Raw genomic sequence first — 25,523 nt, 5'->3', positions numbered from 1 at the left:
CTCAGCCAGGGCGGACAGAAACGGATACCCATGTTACTGCATGGCCCCTGAACCTGATGGAGTATGACCTACTGGGCAGAGCTCAGCTCAGCTACCCCAAGAAGTAAACAGCACAGAGGGAAAGATAAACCTTCCAGGCTTTCCGAAAGCAATTATCATGTGTGGTTATCAGAAAATTTGTATTCACTATCCCGGGGGAAGGAAGCAGAGATACAAATAAACCCAGAATTGATATTTGCCTGGGGATAAATTACATGACATTGCAGGGTGGGGAGCAGATTTTCTTTCTGGATTACTTTCTGCACAGGCGGCCATTAAAATGTATAGCTAGCCCCTGAGTGTGCATCAGCTTGGGGCCGGGAAGCCAGACTGGAGGCCATGGTTTGAGGGCATAGCGCTCATAAGGAAATGGGAAAGTCAACTTTTGATTTTCTTTTGTCAAGTGTTTGAGAAGGGTTTGTTACTTTCTCCAAGGCCCTGAGAGTTGATATCACACTCTCCCCTACATGGTGTGGGCTGGCAACCACAAGGTGGTGACTTCCATAGCAGGTCCTCTGAAGGGGAAGAGACAGCAGGTGGTCCCACGGACCTGCAGGATTCTTGAGCTGCCCACGACAGCCAGTGCATCACGCCCTCATCTAGAAGCTTCAGCCCGGTGTTTATGAGCTTGGCAGTAAAAACTCCACTGGTGCTCTGTGGATAAGCAAAGCTGGTGTCCCTTCCCTTGCACACTGGCAGTGTTCGGTAGCAAGGGGTTCAATGCTGGGGCCATTCCTTTGTCTTGGGAAACTGTCACAGGGTAGGACGGCCATTTCTTCAGGCTTGCTGACCCCAGGTTAACCTCACACCAGCCCAGTGGCCCCCTTCGGGGCAGTGTGGCCAGGGGGACAATTATCTGTGGCTTTATCAGGCAGATGGTGTCTGCAATCCTCACTCTACAATCTCAGCTGTTTGACCTTGGACAAAGCTGGCCTCACCTACTCACCCATGAGCTGGAGGTCGCTGCGGTACCTACACCACTGGGCTGGCATGAGGATGAAATTAGAATGTACAGAGGGTGCTCAGCACACAGTGTTTGTCCAGGAAGTGGCAGCTCTCATAATTTTCTGTGCGTAACGAGTTATAACAAACTCCTTTTTTTCAAGAGCACACTCTATGTTTTCTAAAATCTAGGAAAGAAACAAATTGTCTTTCTCAACAGAAACCTGTGAAAACAACTCAGGGACACCCATACCATGAGACCCTTGCCCCGGCCATTTGAATAACCACAGGCTAGAGCCTTACAGCTCTTCATCCCCAGCGTGGTACTCATCCCATGAAAGGCCACGTTCTACTCACAGGTGAAATAAACTGGTTTTAAACAATCAGCCTTACGGCAATCTTGAGGACAAGAGATTTGGGACATTTCTTGGGCCACGTTTGACCTGAAGCCAGCAGGTCATAGACTTAGGTCCCCAGTCAAACCCTTGCTCAGGTGGGAAACTCATGCACTGCACCTGGTTCTGGTCTGTGATCTCTCCTGGAAGCCGAGCATCATTTGGAAGTGTGTCTGGAGGAGGTGTTCCTTTTTTTTTTTTAATTGAGGCAGAGTCTTGCTCTATCGCCCCAGAGCTAGAGTGCAGTGGCACCATCTCGGCTCACTGCAACCTCCGCCTCTGAGTTCAAGCGATTCTCCTGCCTCAGCCTCCCAAGTAGCTGGGATTACAGGCACACGCCACTGCACCTGGCTAATTTTTGTATTTTTAGTAGGGACGGGTTTCACCATGTTGGTCAGGCTGGTCTTGAACTCCTGACCTCAGGTAATCCACCTGCCTCGGCCTCCCAGAGTGCTGGGATTATAGGCGGGAGCCAGCGCCCAGCCGGGAGGAGGTGCTCTTAATGCGTAGGATGTGTGCACCCCACCTCCTCTCCCCAGTGTTTTCATCCTCAGGTTGAGCCTGGGGTCCGGGTTTCACAAAAACGTGGATAACAAGGGCATTTGTTATAGAAATAGGAGGCACCTACTCTATGCCATCAGCGTGAGCATACAAAAACAGTTAATTGATTTTTTTTTCTTTTCTTAGACAGCTTGCAGTGTAGCTGGGGAGATAAAACATACCAGTCTCTATAAAGATTTAATTTATTTAAATCACATAAGATTATTCAAAGCCATAGGCATGATTAAGTCTCTATAGAATCAAGAAGATTTTCTGTGTGGAGAATATCTCGTGGAGATTTGAAATGTGTCGCCTCTCCTGAGCAGCCAGGATTAACTCTGCTTAGGACGTTTCAGATAAGGGTCAGGCTGGCGTCCTTCTTTCTGCCTCCATGGGTTGCCACCTTTTGCTATGTCGGGGGGTCGCTTGCTTAAGACGTTGCAAGGAGCACCCCAAATGCCAGGCTTCCCACCATAGCTGGCCCGCTGCAGGGTTCACCAGCCTTGCACTGAGGTCAGCACCTCAGTCACTCTCCATTTTGTCCTTTCCCCATGAAATTGTGGCTTTTAATGTAGGCCAAATGCTATGACACCAATATCAAGTCACGAAAGCAGCCTGTCACCTGTTGAAGCTGAGAGGCAGTGGTGGCTGGGCCAGAGGGGAAGGTGGGCTCCTGGGCGCTGCCCGTGGGCCTCACTCCTCTGCCTCCACTCACACTGGCTCGTGTGACCAGACAGGTTTTCTCTTCTGGAGGAAGGCCGTGATGCCCTCCTGCCCGTCCCGCAGGGCCAGGTTGTCCACCATGGCCTGGGAGGTGAGGTAGTAAGCCGTCCCCAGGTCCTGGGGCAGCTGCTTGTAGAAGGTGGCTTTGCCCAGGGACACCACCGGACGGCTCAGCGATGCGATCTTCCTAGCGATCCGCATGGTCTCCTCCTGCAGCTCCGCCTCTGGCACCACCTTGCTAAGCAGCCCGTGGAGCAGGGCCTCCTGGGCAGAAATGGGCTCACCAGTAAAGAGCATCTCCAAGGCCACCTACGGGGAGACACGGGATGTCACTGAGGTGCTCTCCTGTGACCCGCCCCCGCCACCTGAGTCCCGCCTCGGCTCAATGACCTGCTTCCTCAAATACCACGTCATCCGCCAGCCCTGACGTCTTCAGTGCCCTAACTCCTGCCCGGGAGGAGAGCGGATCTTTCCAAGAGCGAAGAAACCACACCAGGCCCAGGGGAGCAGTGGCTGTCCCGTGTTCTCTTGCTCCTGCAAAGATCTGGTCACTGAGCCCTGCCACGGCTGGGGATTTCGTCTACCTCTTTTGAGGGCCAAGCACAGGACGGCAGCCACATCAGATGGGATGCCCCACAGACACTGCAGTATGGGGGTGGGGTGGCGGGGAGTGGGGGTTCCAGTACCTCTCAGAACCCACTGGGGCCACCTCCCACAATAAGCAGTCACGGGGCTGTCACCTTGGCCTGACTGGAAAGAGCAGACCCAGCCTCCCGGAGAGGCAAGGATTTACAGACAATGTCTTTGGGGACCAGACGTAGAGCCCAGCATGGTTTTAACTCACCAATCGGTAAGATGTGGCAAGGAAAGGATGCCCTCTCCCCTCCTACTACCCTCCCCTGAGGTTCCAGGGCTGGTGAAGAGCGGGGGAGCCCAGCTCCCTCCCTCCTCACCGTGTCCTCTGCTTCACAACCACTGCGTGCTGCACCAACCAATTCTGTTGCACGCTACCAAGCCTGGCTCCTCTAAAGTCAAACTTAAAATGGAAAAGAGGGGTCCCCAGGTGCACAAGGACACACAGGCAGGGGCCCTTCCCTTCCCCACCCGTCACTCAGGCTCTCACAATCCTGGTGGCATCCCTGATGTTCCTCAAATACGCCCATGCACCGTCACCTCAGGGTCCTCGGACTCGCTGGTCCCTCTGCCTGGGGTGACTTTTCCCTGGGTGTCATCCTGGCACACGCCCTCATTGCAGGCCTCTGGTCCTGCATCCCCTATCACTGAGGTCTTCCATGGCCGCCCTGCTCCAAGTGTAAAACGAACCCTGATGCGACTCCCGTCTGGCTACATTTTAAATCTTTTGCACTTCTCTCCATTTAACACCCTATATATTTCACGTTTGTTTATAGTGTATGTCCTTTGTAGCATGTAAACTCCAGTAGGACAGGATTTTTTTTTTTTTTTCCAAGATGGGGTCTCACTATATTACGCAGGCTGGTCTTGAACTCCTGGGCACAAGTGACCCCACGGCCTTGGCCTCTTAAAGTGCTAGGATTACAGGTGTGAGCCACCATGCCTGGCCATTTTTTTTAGTCTTCTGTTGATTTCTGTATCTCCAGCACTGGAAGACTGTCCTGCACATAGCAAGCAACTTATCAAATATTTATGAGGGAAGGAAGGAGAGAGGGAGGAAGACAGGCAGGCAGGCAGGAAAACAGAGTACAGCACAAGTGGCAGGTTGGTTCCTTTGAGACAAGGGCAAGGAGGTGATACAGCTTGCAGCTGGCTCTGGCTCTTGCTCTTGGGACCTGGCCTCCATGCTGTGAGGAAGCCCAAGCCACACGGAGAGGCCGGGTGCAGTGTGCCGCCAACTACCCTTGTGGGGGCCCAGCTGAGAGGTAGCATTCACAGCCAGACACGTGAGCAAGCAGCCTTCAGATGAATCCCCAGCTGAGGCTGCCAACCTTCTGGAGCAGAGAGAAGCCTTCCTCGCTAAGCCCTGTCCAAATTGCAAATTCTGTTGTCTTGAGCTACTATACTGTGGGTGGCCTGTTGCCTGGTGACAGCTGGACTAGCCGGAGACACACACAGGGGAGGCATCAGCATGTAGAGTGGGGTTTTTCAACCCTGGTGATACTGACGTTTGGATAACTTTTGCAGGGAGGGTGGGGGCTGTCCTGTGCATTGCAGGATGTTCTGCAGCATCCTTGACCTCCACTCTCTAGTTATCAGTAGTACCTACCCCCCACCAAGCTGTGACAATCAAGAATGTCTCCAGGTATCGCCACATATCCCTGGGCCAATACTGCTCCCAGTTTAGAACCACGGATCTAGAAGGTTTTTAAGCCACAGGACTAGATTGGATCCCCCAGAATTGAACTTGGATAGAGAGACCAGAAGCCTGGCCCAAGGCCCCTCCTGCCACCATGGGTGGAGATGGAGCCCACATGCACTGGGCTGGCAGCCAGGGACGGGTGATGCAGGGCCTCCTTTTCTCCTCTGTAAAGTTAAAGGCATGGACTAAATCACCACCTCTGTTTTGGAACTGTACCGATTTTACGTTGGAGGAAGCAGGAACGTGACAGCTATGGGGGTTCCAGGGCAGACCATTTTTAGTTGACCAGGAAGAGCACTTCATGCCAAAGCGTGTCTGAAGCCCTGGTTGAACCAGGAGCTAAAAAGCGGATCCTGTTGTGAACAGCTGTGAAATAGGACCCTGCTGAAGACACCTAGCAGGTCACAGCACGGGGCCAGGACAGTGCTCTGCTCCATCTCTGCCCCTGAACTGCGTGTCAGCTGGGATCAGAAGCCAAGGTGGAGACCGTGTCACAGCTCCTCCCAGCCACTTACCCTCCACTGACACAGGCGGCTCTTGGGGAACTCAGAGGGACCAAATGTCAGAAAGTGGCCAAGCCTGAAAAACTGATGCAACAAGAAAAAACAACGAAAGCCACCCAAGTCAACCTTATCGATCCCTTTGTCACTTGCAATGATCAAGTCCTAGATGACTCTCAGAGTCGTTAAGAATGGAGTCAGAGCTGGAAGGAGGAAAGAGTAAATCCAAAGTAGTAAGTGTTCCTTCCTGGCCGGCTCAGCAGATGGGCAAGTATTCATCCCAGGTGGGGGGCTTGCAGCCTGGGCCGGCAGTGTGTAGCTGCAGAACTGCACGGAATTCCAAATGCCCCAGATGTTTTGGGGTTGAGTCCTTTGGAGTCCAAGCTTCACAGGCGGGGCCTGGTCCCAAGCCTGCTGGGCACTGGTCCTCCTGGGACCTCTGAGCAAGCCATTTCTCACCTCTCACTTCCGCAGCCAGCACGCTCGGGTACAAATGACCATCACCAAGGGACACAGTGAAGAAGCCACTAACTAATGACAGCAGGGCACACTGTCACATCAAGTACAATGGAAAGGCTGGGGGAAAAATTGTCCATCTGAGCCAGACATAAATCAGGGAGGTCACTATGAAGATTTTGCTTGCAGAAGAAAAGCTCAGGGACCTGGTTTGAGCTCAAGGGACCTGGCTGAGCCAGATGTACCTGAGTTCCAACCCCAGCTCTGCCACTTACTAACCACAAGACCTTCAACTAACGCCTTGGAGTTTGTTTCATCTGGAAAACAAAAATGAGCACCTCCTGCAGTATTGCAAGGATTAGAGATAGCAGGTGCAAGGCTCGTATAATAACAGTCCTGGGCACTCAGTAGGCACCCAGTGAATGCAACACCTATTTTTTAACACAACTAGGCCAACTGCAGATGGTCCATGATCTCTAATGCTGGCTTTTAAATGGTTACCCCAGCCTTGGAACGGGGGTGATTATTTAAAGCAGAGGGGTCTTCTGGATCTCATAGGCCACCCAAATGGCAAGAACCGTGTGCTACAGCCCACAAGGGACTCTCCCCACGTCATGCCCCTTTGCATGGGTGTGGTGTCTTAGTCCATTCAGCCTGCTGGAACACAGCACCACAGCCTGGTGGCTTATAAACAACAGACATTTATATCTCACAAGTTCTGGAGGCTGGAGAGTTCAAGGTGAGGGTGCCGGCACTCAGCGACTGGTGAGGACCTGCCTCCTGGTTCGTAAACGGGGCCTTCTAGCTGTGTCCTCACATGGAGAAAAAGGGGGTAAGGCAGCTCTCTGGGACTGCGTGTTTTTTTTTTTTGTTTTTTTTTTTTTTAAGAGATGGAGTTTTGCTGTTGTTGCCCAGGCTGGAGAGCAATGGCACGACCTCGGCTCACTGCAACCTCCGCCTCCAGGGTTCAAGTGATTCTCCTGCCTCAGCCTCCCGAGTAGCTGGGATTACAGGCATGCGCCACCATACTCAGCTAATTTTTGTATTTTTAGTAGAGACGAGGTTTCGCCATGTTGGCCAGGTTGGTCTCGAACTCCTGATCTCAGGTGATCCACCCGCCTTGGCCTCCCACGGTGCTGGGATTACAGGCATGAGACAACCACGCCCAGCCTGGGGCTGTTTTCATAAAGTCACTGATCTCATTCACAAGGGCTCCATACTCATGATCTCATCACCCCCAAAGGCCCCACCTTCCAACACCATCACCTTGGGAGTGAGGATTCAACACAGGAATTTGGGGAGGACACAGCATTGAGACCACAGCACATAGCATCTGTCTCCCAGGGAGCACCAGCAGCAGGGTGAGGAGCTGCAGAAGGAGCACTACGGAAAGAGTCAGGCCTGAACAGAACCCATGGGATACTTGTGCACACACACACATGCATTCGCACTGGCACCATGGCACCAGCAGGGTCTGTCCCTGGGGCTGCCACATGGCCAGGCTCTGAGGGAAGCACACTGGAGTGAGGGTCATGGGTCCCATCTCACTGGCCGGACACAGGACACGAGGCCCTGAAACTCCCAGACCCTCTTGCAAACTGGGTGTGGAACTGTGCGTCCTCTAAAACTTCACTCCCAACCTCTGGCCACACAAATCACTGCTAAAACGCAGCCTGTCTGGGGCAGGCTGGAGACCCAGCCTTTCTCCCAGGCTCTCTAACATCTGCACCAGTTTGAGCAGCGGGCTTTAACCATCTTTCCAGCTTGGAAACCCCACTCTGTTCTCATTAGCTGATTAGGAAATCAGAGTCTGCCTGCCTCAAGAAAATGACTGTTCTGGGAGGAAGGGCTTCTCATTTCCCACGTGCTCTCCAGTGAGGCCGGCTGCTTGAGGCACTGGCTCAGGGTCTGAGCAAGGCCAGCTCTGCCTGGGAACGGAGCAGCTGCGCCAGGCAGGGTGTTTTATAGGGTGCCAGAAAGATGCATTATTTAGATCATGCCCAAGGAGAGAAGCTCTTTACAAATGGGGAATATTATTCATGTCCAGGCTTGGTCTGATTTGAACAGACAGGCTTGATTGCATAGTTTCTGCCCCAGTCTCCAGCACAGCCAAGCAGGTCCCTGCGGCGGCCAGGAGAGGGCACTAGTGACCCATACATGTTGTCTTATCCAGTGTGAGACAGGCCCAACTTCCTGCCCAGGCCAGTTTGCAAAGTACCTGCTAGCTTCCCTGTGGGTGTATGAGGGACACGCACCCACCCCCCAAAATACTCGGTGGGCCTGTGCATGGATGTCCGTGGATGGGTTCACATGCGCACAATCAGCAAAGACAACGGGCAGGTGGTTTGGGTCAGGTTTATTAGATTGTTATGAATCCCAGCTTTTCCTCCTAAAGCAGGCCCACACAATTAGATCTGCAAATCCAGAAACCTAACAAAGGCATTAAGTTCCAAAAGCCTGTTTCTTCCTGCAAAATTCCCATTATCAGTACTGTGATTTCTGCTTTTCAGTGTTGACCCCAAGCCATGTTCCTGAGTCATGGCTCTGAGTGGCCCAGCATTAATAAGCCCAGCGTGCAAGGGCTTGTTGACAGAACTCTGAACCGCTTTCAGGCAGCTGATTAGAAAAAACTGGCGAGTCTCCAGTTGAGTGATTTAGAGGCCTTCTGGGGGTCAGAACATGAGAACAGAGACCAGGAACCTGAGTAGGGCTGTCTGGAGATTTTTTGCCCCATTTTCTGAGAAGCTCTGTCCTTGGGAGGTAAAAGCTACTTTGGTTCATCCAACTGGGTGATTATGAAATGGGGTTTCTGAAGACTGGGCTTCCTTGGAACTTAAGGCCTGTTTTTGTCATATTTTCCCCCTTTTCTTCTCAAAAACTTTAAATTTTATCAATTTAAAACTTGATAAATATGGTCTAGCGTTAAGTTTCTAGGAATCAAATTTAATAAGCCTTGATTTCAAAAGTTTAAGAGAGAATGGGTTCTTATCCAGACAGTAGGGCTGACTTCAAGGTTTCAAGTGCTTTACTGTGGAACCTTCCAGCGCATCAGGTGTTGAAGAGGACAAGCAGCTGTCAGCACAGCTGTCTTTTATTAGACAAAGGCCTTGTAAGTTGATTTGCACCATTATAAGATAGTTTATGAATAAGCTCTGACAATCAATTTGTTATACACAAAGTAGAGTCTTAAGAAATATTTACTGAATGGGCCAGGTGCGGCGGCTCACGCCTGTAATCCCAGCATTTTGGGAGGCCGAGGGGGACGGACTACTTGAGGTCAGGAGTTTGAGGCCAGCCTGGCCAACAGGGTGAAACCCCATCTCTACGAAAAATACAAAATTAGCCGGGTATGGTGGCACGTGCCTGTAATCCCAGTTACTATGGAGGCTGAGGCAGGAGAATCCCTTGAACATTGCAGTGAGCTGAGATAGCGCCACTGTACTCCAGCCTGGGTGACAGAGCGAGACTCTGTTTCAAAAAAAAAAAAAAAATTACTGAATGAGTTTAAGGTAAGTGTCTATCTTGACAGAATCGAAAACATCCTCTTAGTCTGAAGACACTTTAGCCAGCCGGCACCTACTGTAGTGTGAAGCCCACTTCCAGCCCACTGTCCTAAGTGTGTGTGTTCGCAGGTATCTGTCTTCAGAATTTCCCCACAAACACACATTTCTGCAAAAACTAACAAAGGGGCACTGCAAAAGAAAGGAATACTTCCCTAAACTTCTTGGTCCTACTACTGGATTTCCCTTGGATCTTATTTCTTTTGCGTCTTAGGCATGTGAGCAATTGCTGATTTTCACAGCTGATGCTAAAGCAGATCATATACATTAGAAAGCAATTTAGCTTCTTTGCTTGGTGTGGTCTAAGATTCTGCCCCCTTTTTTATAGATTTCCAATTAAGAACAAGGATGCACTTTTTCCGCAACAAGAACACTGTTGGTTTACACTTGAGGGAAGTTTAGGAAATATTATTTTATGATGTTATAGGAAGGAAGAAAGCTTTGTGGCGGAAACAGACTTCACTGTAGTTAACAAAACCACTTTGCAACACGGCTCCTTCTTGGGCAGATTCAACATACCACGCACAGGAGATTCATGTTCCTGAAATGCAACCGTTGTAAACCCAACACACTCCAGAAATCACCTATTCTAAATCCGTTCTGGAACAAGACAGACTGTTGATGAAGAGTGAGCCAGCGACACTACTATCCTAGGCTCTTGATACTGGCATTATGTCAGTACGCTATTCTATCTCATGGGCAACCATTCAGTGCAACAAAACTGAGTCTCAATTGCATTTCAAATAAGATTACAAAATATGGGCCATTAGGAAGACAAACAAAACTAATCGGCAAACCTACCCAGTGGTACTGAGGGTACGCATGATGGAAATGCAGTGATTTCACAAATTGACGCCTGGCGTCAGAAGCTACAGAGGAACAGGCAGGCGGTCGGCTCTTCCCTCCCTGCCATTAGAGGGAACATCCTGGCCCATCTAGCCAGAGGCACTCTGGGCAGAACGTCCTGATATGAAAGGCACTTTTAACAAGCGGATCTTGAATCATCGCATGCACTGGAGGAGGAACTCCGGAGAAGGCTGGGAGGCAGAGGTGGGTGGGGGGAGTTAAATTACCTTTCTAGGCACTGCTCTTGCCAAGGCAACCCCAGGGGTAGAACAGAAGAGCCCGACGTTCACCCCAGGAGTGGCAAAAGAGGACTTGTCGCTCGCCACGGCAATGTCGCAGCTGGCAACCAGTTGACAGCCGGCAGCCGCGGCCAGGCCATTGACCATGGCAATGACGGGAACGGGGTGGTTCCGGATGTGCATCATGACCTGCGGGACAAACACACCTACTTCATTTCCACCCAGAGGGAGGCACGACATTAACGCCTATTGCTTTTTTTTTTTTTTTTTTTTGACAGAGTCTCACTCTGTTGCCCAGGATGGAGTGCAGTGGCAAGATCCTGGCTCACTGCAACCTCTTCCTCCCGAGTTCAAGCCATCCTCCTGCCTCAGCCTCCTGAGTAGCTGGGACTACAGGCATGGGCTACCACGCCCAGCTAAATTTTTTTTGGTATTTTTAGTAAAGATGGGGTTTTACCATGCTGGCCAGGCTGGCCTGGAATTCCTGACCTCAAATGATCCACCCACCTTGGCCTCCCAAAGTGCTCAGATTACAGGCGTGAGCCACCACGCCCAGCCAACGTCTCTCATTTTATATGACTTTCCTGTTTCCAGAGCACTTTTCATAAGCGTGAGTTTATCCGATTCTATGGAAGAAGGGTGAAAAAAGGCACAGAAAGCACTAACTCCTATTAAATATCTACTCTGAACCAGGCACTGTAATTTGGTCTTTCTGAGAGCCCCATGGGGACAGAGCCCTATTGTACAACAAGGACACTAAGCTTGGTGGGGGCTGCCGCAGGGGGTGGCCCCAAGCTCAGCTCTTGAGTAGTGACAGACCCCCGCCTGCCTTCCTGGCAAATGTGCTGAAGAAGAGTGTGGATTTTTCTCTCTGGGGAACAAATCAAACCCTTCACAGACAGTTCTGTCCTCACTGTGCTTGTGTGAAGCTCTTGGGTTAAAGGTCTGAAGCTGGTATTTGGTGCTTCCTTGAAAAATTGAGGTGGAAAAGGGCCTTGAAGGCAGTTTTCTTAATAATTACTTCTCCAATTACCACCATGAAGATGCTCCCAATTCTATTAAAATGGGGGTGGGGGGACTCTGCTGTCATCAAAGTAAACAAAATTCCTAAAATAGAGCCATTGGCACAGAGAGGAGAGACAAAAATATGCTAATGTGACCCCTCCAACCAATACATTTCCAGAACTTTAACTTATTTTTGCAGCTTATGTTTTCATGCCACAGAGTGTGTTGCTATGGTAACTTCAATTTCTAAAGTGCTGCTCTTTGAACCTTGGCAGGGAGAGAGGATGGGAATACCCCAAGGCAGGTATTCAAAGACAAATGACCTTCATTGATTTGAAGATTTTGTCTAAGAAGCTTATCTTTTATATCCATAAACGTTTGATATTTGTTAGCTTTCTTCTAAAATAACCAATTATATATTTAAGGCTATGGTATCATATCCTATAGTAGTGCTTTTTGACTTTTTTTGGGGGAGGTCTCCTTTTGAGAACCTGATAAACGCTAATGACATTTCTCTTCCCTAGGATAAATGAGGAAATACATCCTCCTCAGAAGAACACAGGTGGGTGGATCATCTGAGGTCAAGAGTTTGAGACCAGCCTGGTCAAAATCATGAAACCCTGTCTCTACTAAAAAAAAAGTACAAAAATTAGCTGGGTGTGGTGGCACGTGCCTGTAATCCCAGCCTACTTGGGAGGCTGAGGCAGGGGAATTGCTTGAACTTGGGAAGTGGAGGTTGTGGTGAGCTGAGATCGCGCCATTGCACTCTAGCCTGGGTGACACAGTGAGACTCTGTCTCAAATAAAAATAAAAATAAAAAGAAGAAGAATGCACAGATAAGTAAACACCTGTACACAACACTATTCACGGATTTAGGGGGTTCATGCACTGTAAGGCGAGACTGGGGATGGGCTAGTGAGAGTGCTCATTACCAGTGAACTGGAATGAATAACAAGGGGAAGAAATCCCAAGAACTTCTAAAGTCTTGCTGCAAAGAAAGAAAAGATTTTGTTTTCGTTCTGAGTGTTGTTGCACCACCCAAGGAACTGAAGTTACTAATGAAAAGCCAATTGACTGGGATTAGAGTTGAACAGTCTACCTGTCCTGTCCATCATCTGTGAATGGCTAGGATTTCATAAAACTTGGCAGAAAAATAGGTAATATGTATATATTCAACATTAAAAAAGCATATAATTATTAATTTTTTTTTTGAAACAGACTTGCTCTGTCACCCAAGCTGGAGTGCGGTGGCACAATCTTGGCTCACTGCAACCTCCGCCTCCCGGGTTCAAGTGACTCTCCTGCCTCAGCCTCCCGAGTACCTGGGATTACAAGTGTACACCACCATACCCGGCTAACTTTTTTGTATTTTTAGTAGAGACAGAGTTTCACCATGTTGGCCAGGTTGGTCTCAAACTCCTCACCTCAACTGATCCACTCACCTCGGCCTCCCAAAGCGCTGGGATTACAGATGTGAGCCACTGTGACCGGCCTAAAAATGCATACATTCACCTTTGATCTAGGAATTCTACTTCTAAGAAATAATGTGAAATAGGTAAAAAGCTCTATGCCAAAGATGCTCACCAAATCATTATTTTGTAATAGTAACAAACTATAAATAATATAAATATACAAAATAAATAAATGGCAGTGGAAACTAAACTACATCGACTAGGATGCTGTATTCTCACTGAAATGAAAATTTCCAAGAGAAACACCAGCATGGCAGTCTGGAGCTTATGCAGTGGTCTGGAACCAGGCTGCCAGGGTTTGACGCCCAGTCTGTCACTTACTCTGCCTAATCCTGGACAAGTCATTTAACCCCTCAATTTTCACATCTGTAAAATGGACATGATAATAGCACCAACCTTATAGAACACGACAGTTATATAAATTAACATATCTAAAGTACTTAAAATATTATCTGGCATATAGTAAGCAATCAATGCTATAATCATATTACGTAATTCTATACTGTAATCTCATCTATATATGATTATTTAGAAAAACAGGTTCACATGGAAAAATGATCTAAAAGGAAATACAGCAAAATATTAATCATGGTTCTCTCTGGGTGGTATGATTATGGTATGACATCGGTAATCTTTTACTGTTCTAGACTTTCAAAACTGTTTACAAGTACTCATTACTTTCATGATTAAGACTATTTTAGGCCGGGTGCTGTGGCTCACACCTGTAATCCCAGCACTTTGGGAGGTCAAGGTGGGCGGATCATTTGAGGTCAGGAGTTTGAGACCAGCCTGGCCAACATGGTGCAACCCCATTTCTACTAAAAAAAAAAAAAAAAAAAAATTAACCGGGCATGGTGGTGCATACCTGTAGTCCCAGCTACTCAGGAGGCTGAGGCAGGAGAATTGCTTGAACCCGGGAGGCAGAGGTTGCAGTGAGCCGAGATCATGCCACTGTAATCCAGCCTGGGCGACAGAGTGAGACCCTGTCTTAAGAAAAAAAAAAAGACTATTTAAAATATAAAGTTAGAGAGAAGTTCAAAAAAGACAAAGGGAATTTAAATAATCAACAAGCTAGAATAATCAAACACTTGATAGTCAAGAACTGATTATACCTATTTGACCTTCCTGAATTAGGTACTGTTTTGGGTCTGCTGACTCCAAAATGTGACATAAATAGAACTCTGCCCTAACCTCCTTTAACAGCATCGCTAAGGGTTTCATGTTATCTCCCCAAAGCAAGAAATCTTGTCCCATTGTCATTTGATTGACGGGGTATGAGAGCAAAGTGCAGAATCTTCTCCTAAACTAGAGTTTCCGTCTCCAAACTTCAACAGGATGTAAGTAGAGAGACAAGGAAGAAGTCTCTAACCTGAGCGCCATGGCAGGTCATTTTCACTCTTCCAGAGCCAAGTTCTTCTCATTCTCATTCTACTCATCCTTAATTTGCCCTACTCCTGGTTTGTATATAATTAACTATCATGCAGTACTTGTCATCTGTAACCAATTGGTATAGTTTTTAGATGCTTAGCTAATTCAGATACCTCTATCCTCCTTTCTAAAATCAAATTTTCTCATGCATGAACTGAACAATGAAATATCTAGCTCATTCTGTTCCAATCTGCTGTTGATTTCACTTGGAAATGGAAATCTTGCACAAGTTCATGGCACTCATATTTATCCAAGACAATGTTATTTTCTTAGAAATGGTTTAAAGATATCAATACACTTTCAGTCCTATTTTACTACTTTGGGGTAGGCCCTGTTTATGCACTGAGTCTTTTTCAGGGAGTCAGAGGCCTCCAAGGGTTAGGGGCTTCCAAGAAATCTGGGCTTTATCCTCTGAAGAAGGCCTGCTCCCCTGTGGCCCATGGCTATGCTGTTTAGATCCCAGTTCATGAAGTTACCAGAGCAGAGTGATAAAAGCAGACCCTTAGGGAGGATAAAAGGGCTTTACTGGTTCTCTTTGATGCTTTTCAACTTTAGCCAAACATACTGGGTATTGGTAGAAAAAAACTTTTAAAGCACCAAGGCTTGGCAAACCCAAGAGTGGAATGTTACATAAACATCATTAATGTAGGAAACGAAAGACCCAGGTCTCGGCTCTAACTTGCTCCCACTTCCCCATGAAGCTTCGAGTAAATTGCTGTTCCTGTTTATCCTTCCATGTAGTGACAAAAATATAACCTGATCTCTTTATGGGTTTCTGGAAGGGCAAGGAAAACAAATGGGGATGTCTTAATCATCTTCCCATTCACATCCCTGTTGCTCACTTCTGTCTTGTATCATTAAACATCTGTGAAATCATTAATGACCAAATACATGAATGAATAAGTCAATGAATGAATAAAAAATTAGGTTAAACTATCTTAGAGGCAGGTTATGAAACCATTTTATATGTGTTGTTTCCCAAATAGATTTTCAGTTTCAGTTTGGCAGAAAACAATTTTTTCTTATGTTTCCCTCAATGTCTTGCAGGTACTATAATAGGTGCTCAATAAATGGTCATTAGATGAACAATGTATTACTTAAAGCTGGATTCACTATTCAATTTTTCATTACCCAAGGGGTTGATTTCATGCCTTTATAAATCATCCAAAACTTTTGTGCCTCTTCTTCCTCTGTGGCTGTCGGTATTTTTCCTCCTTAATATGGTGAAAGAGGCAGAAAAGAAGCAACAACGAAGAGGTTAATTTTCCTACTTGGAGGTGGTGATTATAAAGGCTGGTTGAAAGAAGCATTCAAAAATAATTTTAAAAACCATTATTGTTATTCCATTTATTAATGTTCTTTCCCATTTAATAGAGTTGTTTTAGTTTAAAATCTTTTAAAATTATTATAATCTGAGATTCTTCTTCCCTAAAGACGCACATTTTCACCTTTTCCTTCTTACTCCAAACTTCTATACCAAGACATACTCCCACAATGCTAGACATGGCAACTATGAGTACCATCCTATATTCCACTTTCTTTGGTATAAAACAAAATCAATAGCAAATTATGGTCACTTCTTAAAAGTCTAAACTAGGCTGTGCACGGTGGCTCATGCCTGTAATCCCAGCACTTTGGAAGGTCGAGGGAGGAGGATCATCTGAGGTCAGGAGTTTGAGACCAGCCTGGCCAACATGGTGAAACCCCGTCTCTACTAAAAATACAAAAATTAGCCAGATGTGGTGGTGCATGCCTGTAATCCCAGCTACTCAAGAGGCTGAGGCAGGAGAATCGCTTGAACTTGGGAGGCGGAGGTTGCAGTGAGCCAAGATTGCACCACTGCACTCCAGCCTGGGCGACAGAGGGAGACTCTGTCTCAAAAAAAAAAAAAAAAAAAAAAAAAAAAAAAAAAAAAAAAGGTCTAAACCAAATAATTGCTGGATTGCTGGGATAAAGGATCTGATGACCAAACAGTTTCCAGTTGCTCTGGGTGTTTGGGTCTCATGGATAAAATCTTATCTGTAAGGTCGAAGGCGAACTCAACATTTAATGTAATGATCATTTGCAGGTTTGCACTGTCGACTGTCGTCTTGGCTTACCTTGGAACAGGTCTGAAATACTTCGGCATGGTAATCACGGCCTTGCTCCTCTGTCAGCTCCTTTAAGTCATGCCCAGAAGAAAACACAGGCCCCTCAGCTGCAAATGTTTCCAATTGAGAAAAGAAAACAAAAAGATGTAAACACCCAGAGTTGGGCAGTTAGTTCCCTTCCTTGTCTACTGAATAACTTCAGCAAACTTTCACTTAGAGCAAGTTAATGGCCTAATTTTGAGAAGAATAATTCCAGTTTGCTTGAAAAGTTCCAGCCAGAATTTTGTGATGAAAAATGCAAGGCGAGGCATTTTTTAGGTGCCTCCGTGTCCTAAAATTTCTTCATGGAAAATGATAGAAATACACAATTACATAAGGAGAAGATTCAGTTACCAAGGCGAAGGTATTTTATACAGAGCCTTTATTTGGGGACTCGCTCTGGCCTGAGTGTATTGAGTCACACAAGCTCATCAAAATCCCCCATGCCGAAGGCAGTGTCCATGTCATTTCATCTACAAGTAGTGGCCAGCCGTCATGGCTGAAGTGGGAAGGTGAGGGTAGGAAGAGACCTCGGAAGCCTTCTGGTCTTCATTTTACAGATGAGGGATCATAAGATGTGGCTGCTATCACTGCTGTCATCAACAAGAAAATGTCATCCTACTGATGAGCTGATAACATTTTCTCATACTTCCCTTTTGTTGCTGTTGTTGTTGTTTGAGACAGAGTCTTGCTCTGTTGCCCAGGCTGGAGTGCAGTGGCACGATCTCGGCTCACTGCAACCTCTGCCTCCCAGGTTCAAGCAATTCTTGTGCCTTAGCCTCCTAAGTAGCTGGGATTACAGGTGCCTGCCCCCACGCCCAGCTAATTTTTGTATTTTTGGTAGAGATGGGGTTTTGCCACGTTGGCCAGGCTGGTCTCGAACTCTTGGCCTCAAGTGATCTGCCCGCCTTGGCCTCCCAAAGTATTGGGATTACAGACATGAGCAACCATGCCTGGCTGTTGTAGTTATCTTGATTGATAGGCAATATTATTGTCTTTTTGTAAGTGAGGTAATTATGTAGTTAAGAAGCTATAGTGAGACCCCTGTCTCTGCAAAATAAAACCTTAAAAATTAGCCAGGCACAGTGGTGGCAATGTTGCTTGAGGCTAGGAGTTCGAGACCAGCCTGGGCAACATAGCAAGACACCATCTCCACAAAAAATAAAAAATTAGCTGAGTGTAGTGGCACACACCTATAGTCCCAGCTACTCAGGAGACTGAGGTGGGAGATCACTTGAGCCCAGAAGTTTGAGGCTGCAATGAGCTATAATCATGCCACTGCACTCCAGCCTGGGCAACAGGGCAAGACTATGTATCAAATAAAAAAAAAAAAAGAAGACGTTAACTGCCTTTGCTGTATCCAGGTAACATCCCACATGGCTGCTGGACTGTACTAGTTCTAATTTCTTTTCTCTTCACCATATAAAACAGTTGAACACTTTTGATTAACCATGGATAAGATGGTAACATTCTGAGTTTCTGCCTCCAGAAACACTGATGCTTGATTTGCCAAACAAACATAGCATCACAAAGCATCATCATCATATTTTTTTGTGTATGCTTTAAAATGCTAATATTACTATTATTTATACCAGTCCCATCATCACAAGAAAAAATAATTCTGTAAAAATTCCTTTTGGAGCAAGCAAACAAATTAGCAGAATATGGCATCTTTTCCAGCACCATTAAAGGCACTGCAGATATCAGTTCGAAAGCTTGGTAAGAAAAGAAAAGTCAGACCAATCAAATGCGCCAAAGGATTAGTGGTTAAACCCATTTTATAAGGTCCATGAAGAAATCAGTTCTCTGATTTTGAGGGGAAGACCAGTATAGCCAAGTACAGAAATGTTTTAGTATCTGACAAAAAGGAAAAGACATAGTTTCACTGAACAGTCATCTTTGTTATAAATTCTGCAGTTAATAGCGTTAGGACCAAACCACCAACTACACAGGTGTTTTCCATAATTAATGTTCTTGTAAAGGAGCTTCAAAACAATTCTCCAGTTAAATAAAGGGATGCCCCAGTTTACTAAAGACTCAGAAAGCTCTTGTGGGCACTGCAGAATACTAAGGACAGATATCAGATACATACCCGAGATGATAATGACTTTCAGATCGTTGCTGTCAGCGTCATGAAGAATGTCACTTTGGAGAGACTTCAGCATTGCAAGTGACAACGCGTTCCTCTTCTTGGGATTGCTCAAGACGATGTTCCTGTGAAGAACATTTTACAATCACAGGGTCACACACCAGTCAAAACAAGTGAGGACCCCTGCGATTCCTGTCTAATTTAGGAGGTATTTTTAACAGACAAGAAAGGAGAACTGCTGGGGCTTAGTGCCAATTTAGAGGGTCTGTCAACTCTCTGGAGTTACAGCCAAGTCAAAACAAGAAAAAGGCGACCTGAAATGCAGGCTGGGTTTCCTCCCTCTTCCCTTGATTTGTTTCTCTTTTTCTCCATGTTTGCTGTCAGAAACATGACTGCCACCTCCACGGAGAGGGCAATGCACAGCGGTTCCAAAATCAACACCACCCAGAGAGGCTGCAAGCTTAGCATGATAGCAGGCGCTGGAGAAATCTGACAAACAGTGGCTACCTTCCACTGCTTTCTTTCCATTGTTCCTTAGAAAAAAGTTAGAAAACGAGCCCAGAATGAAAATAACTCCCTCTATAGATCTCGGCTCACTGCAACCTCCACCTCCCCGGTTCAAGCAATTCTCCTGCTTCAGCCTCCCGAGTAGCTGGGACTACAGGTGCCCGCCACCACACTTGGCTAATTTCATATTTTTAGTAGAGATGGGGTTTCACCATGTTGGCTAGGCTGGTCTTGAACTCCTGATCTCAGGTGATCCGCTTGCCTCAGCCTCCCAAAGTTTTGAGATTATAGGCATGAGCCACCATGCCCGACCCAATTTTTTATATTTAATTTTTGTGGGTACATATAGTAGGTGTATATATATTTATGGGGTACATGGGATGTTTTGACACAGGCAAGCAATGCGCAATAATCACGTGATGGAAGATGGGGTATCCATCCCTTCAAGCATTTATCCTTTGTGGATGACAAAGGATAAATCAACAATCCAATGATACTCTTTTAGTTAGTTTCAAATGTACAATTAAATTATTATTGACTATAGTCACCCTGTTGTGCTATAGAATTCTCGGCCTTATTCATTCATTCTATTTTTCTGTACCCACTCCATCTTTTTTTTTTTTTTTTTTTTTTTTTTTGAGATGGAGTTTCACTCTTGTTGCCCAGGCTGGAGTGCATTGGCATGATCTCAGCTCACTGCAACCTCTGCCTCCCGGGTTCAAGTGATTCTCTTGCCTCAGGCTCCCAAGTAGCTGGGATTGCAGGTGTGTGCCACCACACCCAGCTAATTTTTGTATTTTTAGTAGAGCTGAGGTTTCACCATGTTGGCCAGGCTGGTCTCAAATTCTTGACCACAGGTGATACACCCGCCTCAGCCTCCCAAAGTGCTGGGATTACAGACGTGAGCTACTGCACCTAGGCCCGTCTTTTCTTACAGTGGCATCCTGTAAGTTTACAAAACAATTCATGCTGTCTGCAAGTGGGCTGATACATGAAGGAAAAAAGTACAAGCCACACAGCAAGAGGGCTCTTCTGGACATATCCTCTCACAAAAAGCTGGCGTCCAAAGGGCCTGTTTGCTCTTTTGAGGCATCCCACATGCTGAATAAAATAACCTGTATTGTCATCTTGCTGCTTATACACAGAAATGTCTTATTTTTGGCTGTTACAAGAAATGGGCAAAGAGCCAAACACCAGATTGTTATTATATATTTTATATGTTTCCTATCAGTTTTCACCTACAGGTTTCCTACCTTCCTCAATCTTTTTTGAATCTGATATTCCTTCCGCGGTACAGCCAACTTGGATCCTCCATAAATAGTATTCTGTGTCATGGTTTTCCGGAAAACAAGTTTGATGACTGAATTGATTTCAATAAGAATAACCACTTTCTTTGGAATACCATTTCAAGGTTGCTGCAGTCTTCAAGTGGCTGTGCTATTCATCTTGTTGTTTCTTATAAACATTGTTCTCTCCTAAGTACAAAAATTACTTGCACTGATTTGCTGATAGACTTCAAAACTTATATTTGGTGGGGGTGGTGGGAGAACTGCTTATAAACCTCTCCATCAAATATTGAGGGTGCTTCTTGTAGCAAATATAAAAAGCTGCCATCCCATCGGTGACGTATGCTTAATCTTAGTGCTAAGGTCTCAGGCAAAATTGTATAAAAAGATTCCAGCCCCCGAGGCCATTGTGCGCCGCGGAATCTGTTCATGTGTCCTGTTAGCTGTTTGGCTCCCACACTGTGAGTGTTCTAAACTGCAGAGTCCACTCTCCAACCCAGAGGAACCAGGCTCAGCTCCTCCCACCCCACCCAAGCTCTTCTCACCAACCATCTCCTAATTTCCAGATCCAAATCCACTGGCCATCTTGATCACTCCCTCCTTCTGGAGACAGATTTCTTCTCTCCTGGTTGTTTTGTACTTCTCTGGTCGGTCCTTCTTGACTTCTTTCGTGGGCTACTAGCCCTCTGTTCACCCCTGAATGTCAGCCATCCTGAATTCTGTCCTCCACACTCTTCCCAGGCAACTTCACCGATGACTTTGATGTCAACAGCTGCCTCTGAGCTGAGCTCCAGGTGCACGCGTTCATCCCGATGTCTACTGGCCTTCTCCATCTAGGTGTCTTTGGGCATTCCCCCATTCTCAAACCTGGCCCTCTCCTCTCTTTCTTATCTGAGCAGTGCCACTCAATTGCCTGAATGAGAGAAAAAGTCATTCTAGTTTTCTATCCCTTCCTGATTCAACTGGCATCAAAGCCTGTTAATAATACCTCCTAAAAAAATCTCTTCACTGAACCCTCCCAGTGGCCATCTTGGTTCAAAACATGCGATGCCTTGCACCGAGAGCTCCACCAATATCACCTATCCGAAGAGAAAACCTCTTTAAGAATGAGGTCACCACCAGAGCATGTGATAAGTGTCAAGGTAAGAGATGGTCCCTATAAATGCCCCCATGAGCTGTCTGAAGATCATTATTGTAAACCACGAGAAGGTCCCTGAAGTGAGGGACTGTCATGTTCTCACACAGAGAAGACACTCAATATCTGTTGACCTAAGGACAAAAAATAGCATTTCTATTTTTTCACAGCCAATTCCACCGAATGCAGTGGAATGACATCACACCCCATTTTTTCACCATCTCTTTTCAAACCAAGTGGTGAGTAGAAACAGAGTAGAAACCACTTTGGGGCAGAGGGACCTCTCTGAACCCTGGTGAGACCTACTGGCCGTGTGGCCCTGAACAGGCTGTCACCTCTCTGAACTTGCTTCCTCACAGTAAAGTGGGCATAAAATTATCCACTTTGCAGGCCACTGTTAAGAATTAGGGATCATGGATGCAGGGAGCCCAGCACAGAGCTGGCCCTGGGTCCATGACAGCAGTGCTGCTGGGAGGAGGAGCATGGAAAAGGGACACTTGAAGAGTGGTGGGTCGCTCAAGTTCTTGCTCAAGTTCACCTGCTTAGTGCCCAACATAATGCTGCTTTAATGCTTGGTTAAGAAGTTTCCTTTCCTACTAAACAAACCCTAGCATTCATGTGAGAGTGTTTCAGTCACCACCTTTGCTGATTCATATTTAATTCTGGAGAACTCGACCGGCCTCCTTTTTGCCATCTGGCCGCCATGCCCAGAAGTCAGGCTTCCAACCAGATGTGACCAGATTTACAGAAGCAGAAACTTAGCAATGGGCAAGAAAGACCCTGGCCTGGGCCCTGCTCTGGCCTGTGCTCCTGTAGTTGATGAGCAAGGGGTCCACAGGGAAGGGAACCATCCCCTTTCCAAACCCTGCGGCCATTACTGAGACCCTGGAATTCCCTGCCCCTGCTGTGGGCACCCCAAGCCCAAAGGTGGCCAAGAGCAGCTGTCTGTAGAGCATGAGGGCTGGAAGGGTGTCTGCAGATCTGTGCACCCAGCCCCTTGCAGAGCAGCAGAAAGGACGGGTGCAAAGGTAGGAAAGGATGAGAGGAGGGTGAGGAGAAAAGGAAAACGCTGAAGCCACGGGCTGGCTCTCTACCCCTGCGGGGAACCACCTGGTCATCTGAGGATTATCAGTTCACAGGCGGCCTTCTAGGTCTTCTTCGGAAGGTGAACATCTCAGGGTAGGAGAAGACGACGTTTTATTTAATAGCTTGATTTAGAACTGAAACATGCTGAAACACGGTACGCAGGCCTCCCTTTGCACCCTTGCCCCGGCCAGGCAAGCACCCGGCTCAGGCCTGGAGGGGGTAGGGCCCTCCACCTTCATGACTCCATCGCCCAGATTCCAGTTGGCGTACAAGCACATTTTTAAGAGTTTTGGGCCCGTAGCCACAAGGGCAGCGCTCAGGAAGCTGTGCACTTTGTCCTATTTACTGTCCTGGCCCCCAGCCCCGCGCCTCTGTGTGAGGGCCAAGGAGCAGCTCGACCAAGCCCACACTTCCCCTAGGGCCGGGTCTGGGGCCCAGAGCCCTCCTCTCCAGGCCTCTCCGCAGGCCCAGCGACTGGAGGCCCAGTGACCCCGCAGGCTGCCCTGAGGGCTTTGGAGCCCCGGGCAGTCCCACCGACGGCCCTACAATCCCACCTGCGCGTCTCGCTGCCAGGCCCGGGTCCGGGACACGGGGAGTTCCCTCCCCAGGGGCGTAAACGGGGCTCCGGTTCCCCGGGTCCTCCCCGGGTCAATGGCGGCGCCCTGACCCCGACTCGGCACCAACGCGAGGAGCCCGCGCGGCCCGGGGCTGACCTTATGCCGTCCAGCTGCCGCGCGCTGGTGGGCCGCGGCTCCGACTCCCGCCGCCCCGCCCCGGCCGGGTCCCGGCTGCAGAAGCGGGCGGGGAGCTGGGCCCAGGGGCCGCGCCGGAGACACATGGGCCCACTTGCCCCGAAGGCCCGCAAGACGGCGACGGCGGCCATAGCATTCGGGATGGCCAGACGCCGCAGGATCGCGCTGCCTGGCCGGCCGCAGGTGCTGGGCGCTCCGAGGGCGCTGCTGTGAGCAGGGCCGGGACGGAACTCGACGGAACTCGACGGTGGCCGAGACCCGGACGGAACCGCCTGACAGGCCCAGGCTTCGCGGGGACGCCCCAGGCCAGGCCCAGTCCGTACTACGCCCCGCCCCGGCACGCCCCGCCCCGCCCCGGCACGCCCCTCCCCGCCCCGGCACGCCCCGCCCCGCCCCCACGAGGCCCGCCCCCGGCTCGCCGCTCCCCGCCGCGCCCCGCACGGTGAAAGGCGCGCATTGAAAACCTGCAGGCCGGCTCCAGGGGTTGTTTGACAAGGCCTGTGGGAAAGTTTAAGCGAGGGGAGGAGTAGGATGATTTCTTTTTGCACCAACACCGGGAATGTGGCGTTTGCCTGCATTAGGAAAACGAGCGTCAGGGGTGATTGGCGCTGCACTGTTAGCAACCGCTCCCCTACCTGCCTGGGAAACGCCCCGAGCCTGGAGGGCGAGCACGTGGGGGGCCTGGCTGCGCGGATGTTGACTTTTTAATCCTTTGTGTCCTCTCATCCAGACGCTGGGGGTCCACACTTTAAGTTTCTGCCTCCAGGTATCTGGAAATGGAAAGTGAGTTCATAAACAAAATAAAGTTAAATTTCCGGAACACCTGAGCTTGATCTCCCAGTCATGCCAAGTGCCACCGACGAGGCCGAGCACGGGGGAGCACGGGGGTCGCAGAGCCTGATAAAAGTGACCGCCCCCAGGGCTTAGGGTCACTGCTGGTCTCTTACTAAGATGACTTTCGCTGGCTGGGAGGAGATGAGGAGGCCCCACTCCACAGGGGAGCTGGTGCAAGAGGGAACTGATACACGGGGTTTCGGGAAGACGAAGGAGCTAGGAGAGCACTCCGAGCCTGGACTGCGCAGATGAAAATGGAAAGACGGCTGGGCGCGGTGGCTCACGCCTGTAATCCCAACACTTTGGGAGGTCGAGGCAGGTGGATCACCTGAGGTCAGGAGTTCGAGAACAGCCTGACCAACATGGTGAAACCCCGTCTCTACTAAAAATATAAAAAATTAGCTGGGCATGGTGGCGCGCGCCTATAGACCGAGCTACTTGAGAGGCTGAGACACGAGAATCGCTTGAACCCGGGAGGTGGAGGTTGCAGTGAGCCGAGATTGTGCCACTGCACTCCAGCCTGGGCGACAGAGTGAGACTCCGTCTCAAAAGAAAATGGAAAGGCTCAGAGGCCACTTCCACCTGCTTCTACATTTAATAATAACAGGTCGCTCTTTGTGGAGCCCCACTCTGCCAGTTCCTGTACCTATGCCGTCTCTTTCAACATTCGGGGTTGTCCAGGCAGGTATCATTATCGCAGTTCCCACCAATTTCACCAGCCCTGTTGGCACCAGGCCTAGTAGTTACAGAGTCAGGACGGGGCTGGAGGTCAGATGAAGGATGGCGCTGTGGATGGAGGGTCCCCTCTCATCTGAAGTCCTAGGCCTGCGTTCCCATTCCTTTCATGTCTCCCTCCTCCCTGGTTTTCTTTCAGAGCCTGCAGCCCCCAGTTTGAGCGTGGTGAGCAAAGAGGGACATGCAGGTGGACGGCCACCGCATTACCCAGGCAGAAGTCGATAGAACTTACTGAATCTTGAGTCCTTCCTCAAGCAGTGCAGGACTCTTTTCAAATTCAGGCTGCTTCTCCCGGCCTCCTCTGCTTCTCATTAACTTTTGCAGGGGCTGCCTTTCTTTCTTCTCTCTTGTTCAGTGCCTTTCTAATCTATTTTCCACGCAGGCTTTCTCCCTGACACAATTTGATTTCTAGGTGGCTAGCAGGCTTCTCCCTGGCTTTGATTTCTGCACTTCTTTCCTGTGCCACATGTCTCTGCTGCACAGATGTGTC

At 48.3% G+C, this 25,523-nt stretch overlaps 1 protein-coding gene across 3 annotated transcripts, besides 2 other annotated features; it reads right to left on the bottom strand.

Moving 5' to 3' along the window:
* Positions 1 to 2,101: 2,101 nt before the first annotated feature.
* On the bottom strand, positions 2,102 to 23,790 carry ECHDC3 (enoyl-CoA hydratase domain containing 3). Of its 3 annotated transcripts, none has more exons than XM_047425750.1 (5): positions 23,267 to 23,790; positions 18,702 to 18,823; positions 16,580 to 16,677; positions 10,564 to 10,764; positions 2,102 to 2,948 (listed from the first exon to the last, which is right to left on the bottom strand). In XM_047425750.1, exons 1-5 carry the CDS (start codon positions 23,593 to 23,595, stop codon positions 2,628 to 2,630), a joined length of 1,071 nt encoding a protein of 356 aa, XP_047281706.1. In that variant the 5' UTR covers positions 23,596 to 23,790; the 3' UTR covers positions 2,102 to 2,627. The 3 variants fall into 3 exon arrangements, with proteins under 3 accessions (XP_047281706.1, NP_078969.3, XP_011517991.1); NM_024693.5 differs by having other exon boundaries at positions 23,426 to 23,790; XM_011519689.1 differs by lacking the exon at positions 10,564 to 10,764 and having other exon boundaries at positions 23,426 to 23,790.
* Positions 23,381 to 23,700: a silencer, noted in NCBI's record as "silent region_2132". NCBI's record gives its function as "represses an Ori minimal core promoter by ATAC-STARR-seq in GM12878 lymphoblastoid cells {active_cell/tissue: GM12878}" and the evidence as "EXISTENCE:reporter gene assay evidence [ECO:0000049][PMID:35858748]".
* Positions 23,741 to 23,930: a silencer, noted in NCBI's record as "silent region_2131". NCBI's record gives its function as "represses an Ori minimal core promoter by ATAC-STARR-seq in GM12878 lymphoblastoid cells {active_cell/tissue: GM12878}" and the evidence as "EXISTENCE:reporter gene assay evidence [ECO:0000049][PMID:35858748]".

Source organism: Homo sapiens, chromosome 10 (assembly GCF_000001405.40).
Source record: "Homo sapiens chromosome 10, GRCh38.p14 Primary Assembly".
In the NCBI taxonomy this organism is placed as follows: Eukaryota; Metazoa; Chordata; class Mammalia; order Primates; family Hominidae; genus Homo; species Homo sapiens.
The sequence above is the reverse complement of the archived record's forward strand: the minus strand, read 5'-3'. Positions and strand labels throughout refer to the sequence as shown.

Bases quoted from the DNA above. Each gene is read 5' to 3' on its own strand.
- ECHDC3 (XM_047425750.1), bottom strand. From the start codon at position 23,595: ATGGCCGCCGTCGCCGTCTTGCGGGCCTTCGGGGCAAGTGGGCCCATG. The intron at 18,824-23,266 runs GTGGGATTGTAG...TGTTCTTCACAG, and splicing joins CCTGGCAGCGAGACGCGCAG to GAACATCGTCTTGAGCAATC. The intron at 10,765-16,579 runs GTAAGCCAAGAC...TTTGTCCCGCAG, and splicing joins TATTTCAGACCTGTTCCAAG to GTCATGATGCACATCCGGAA.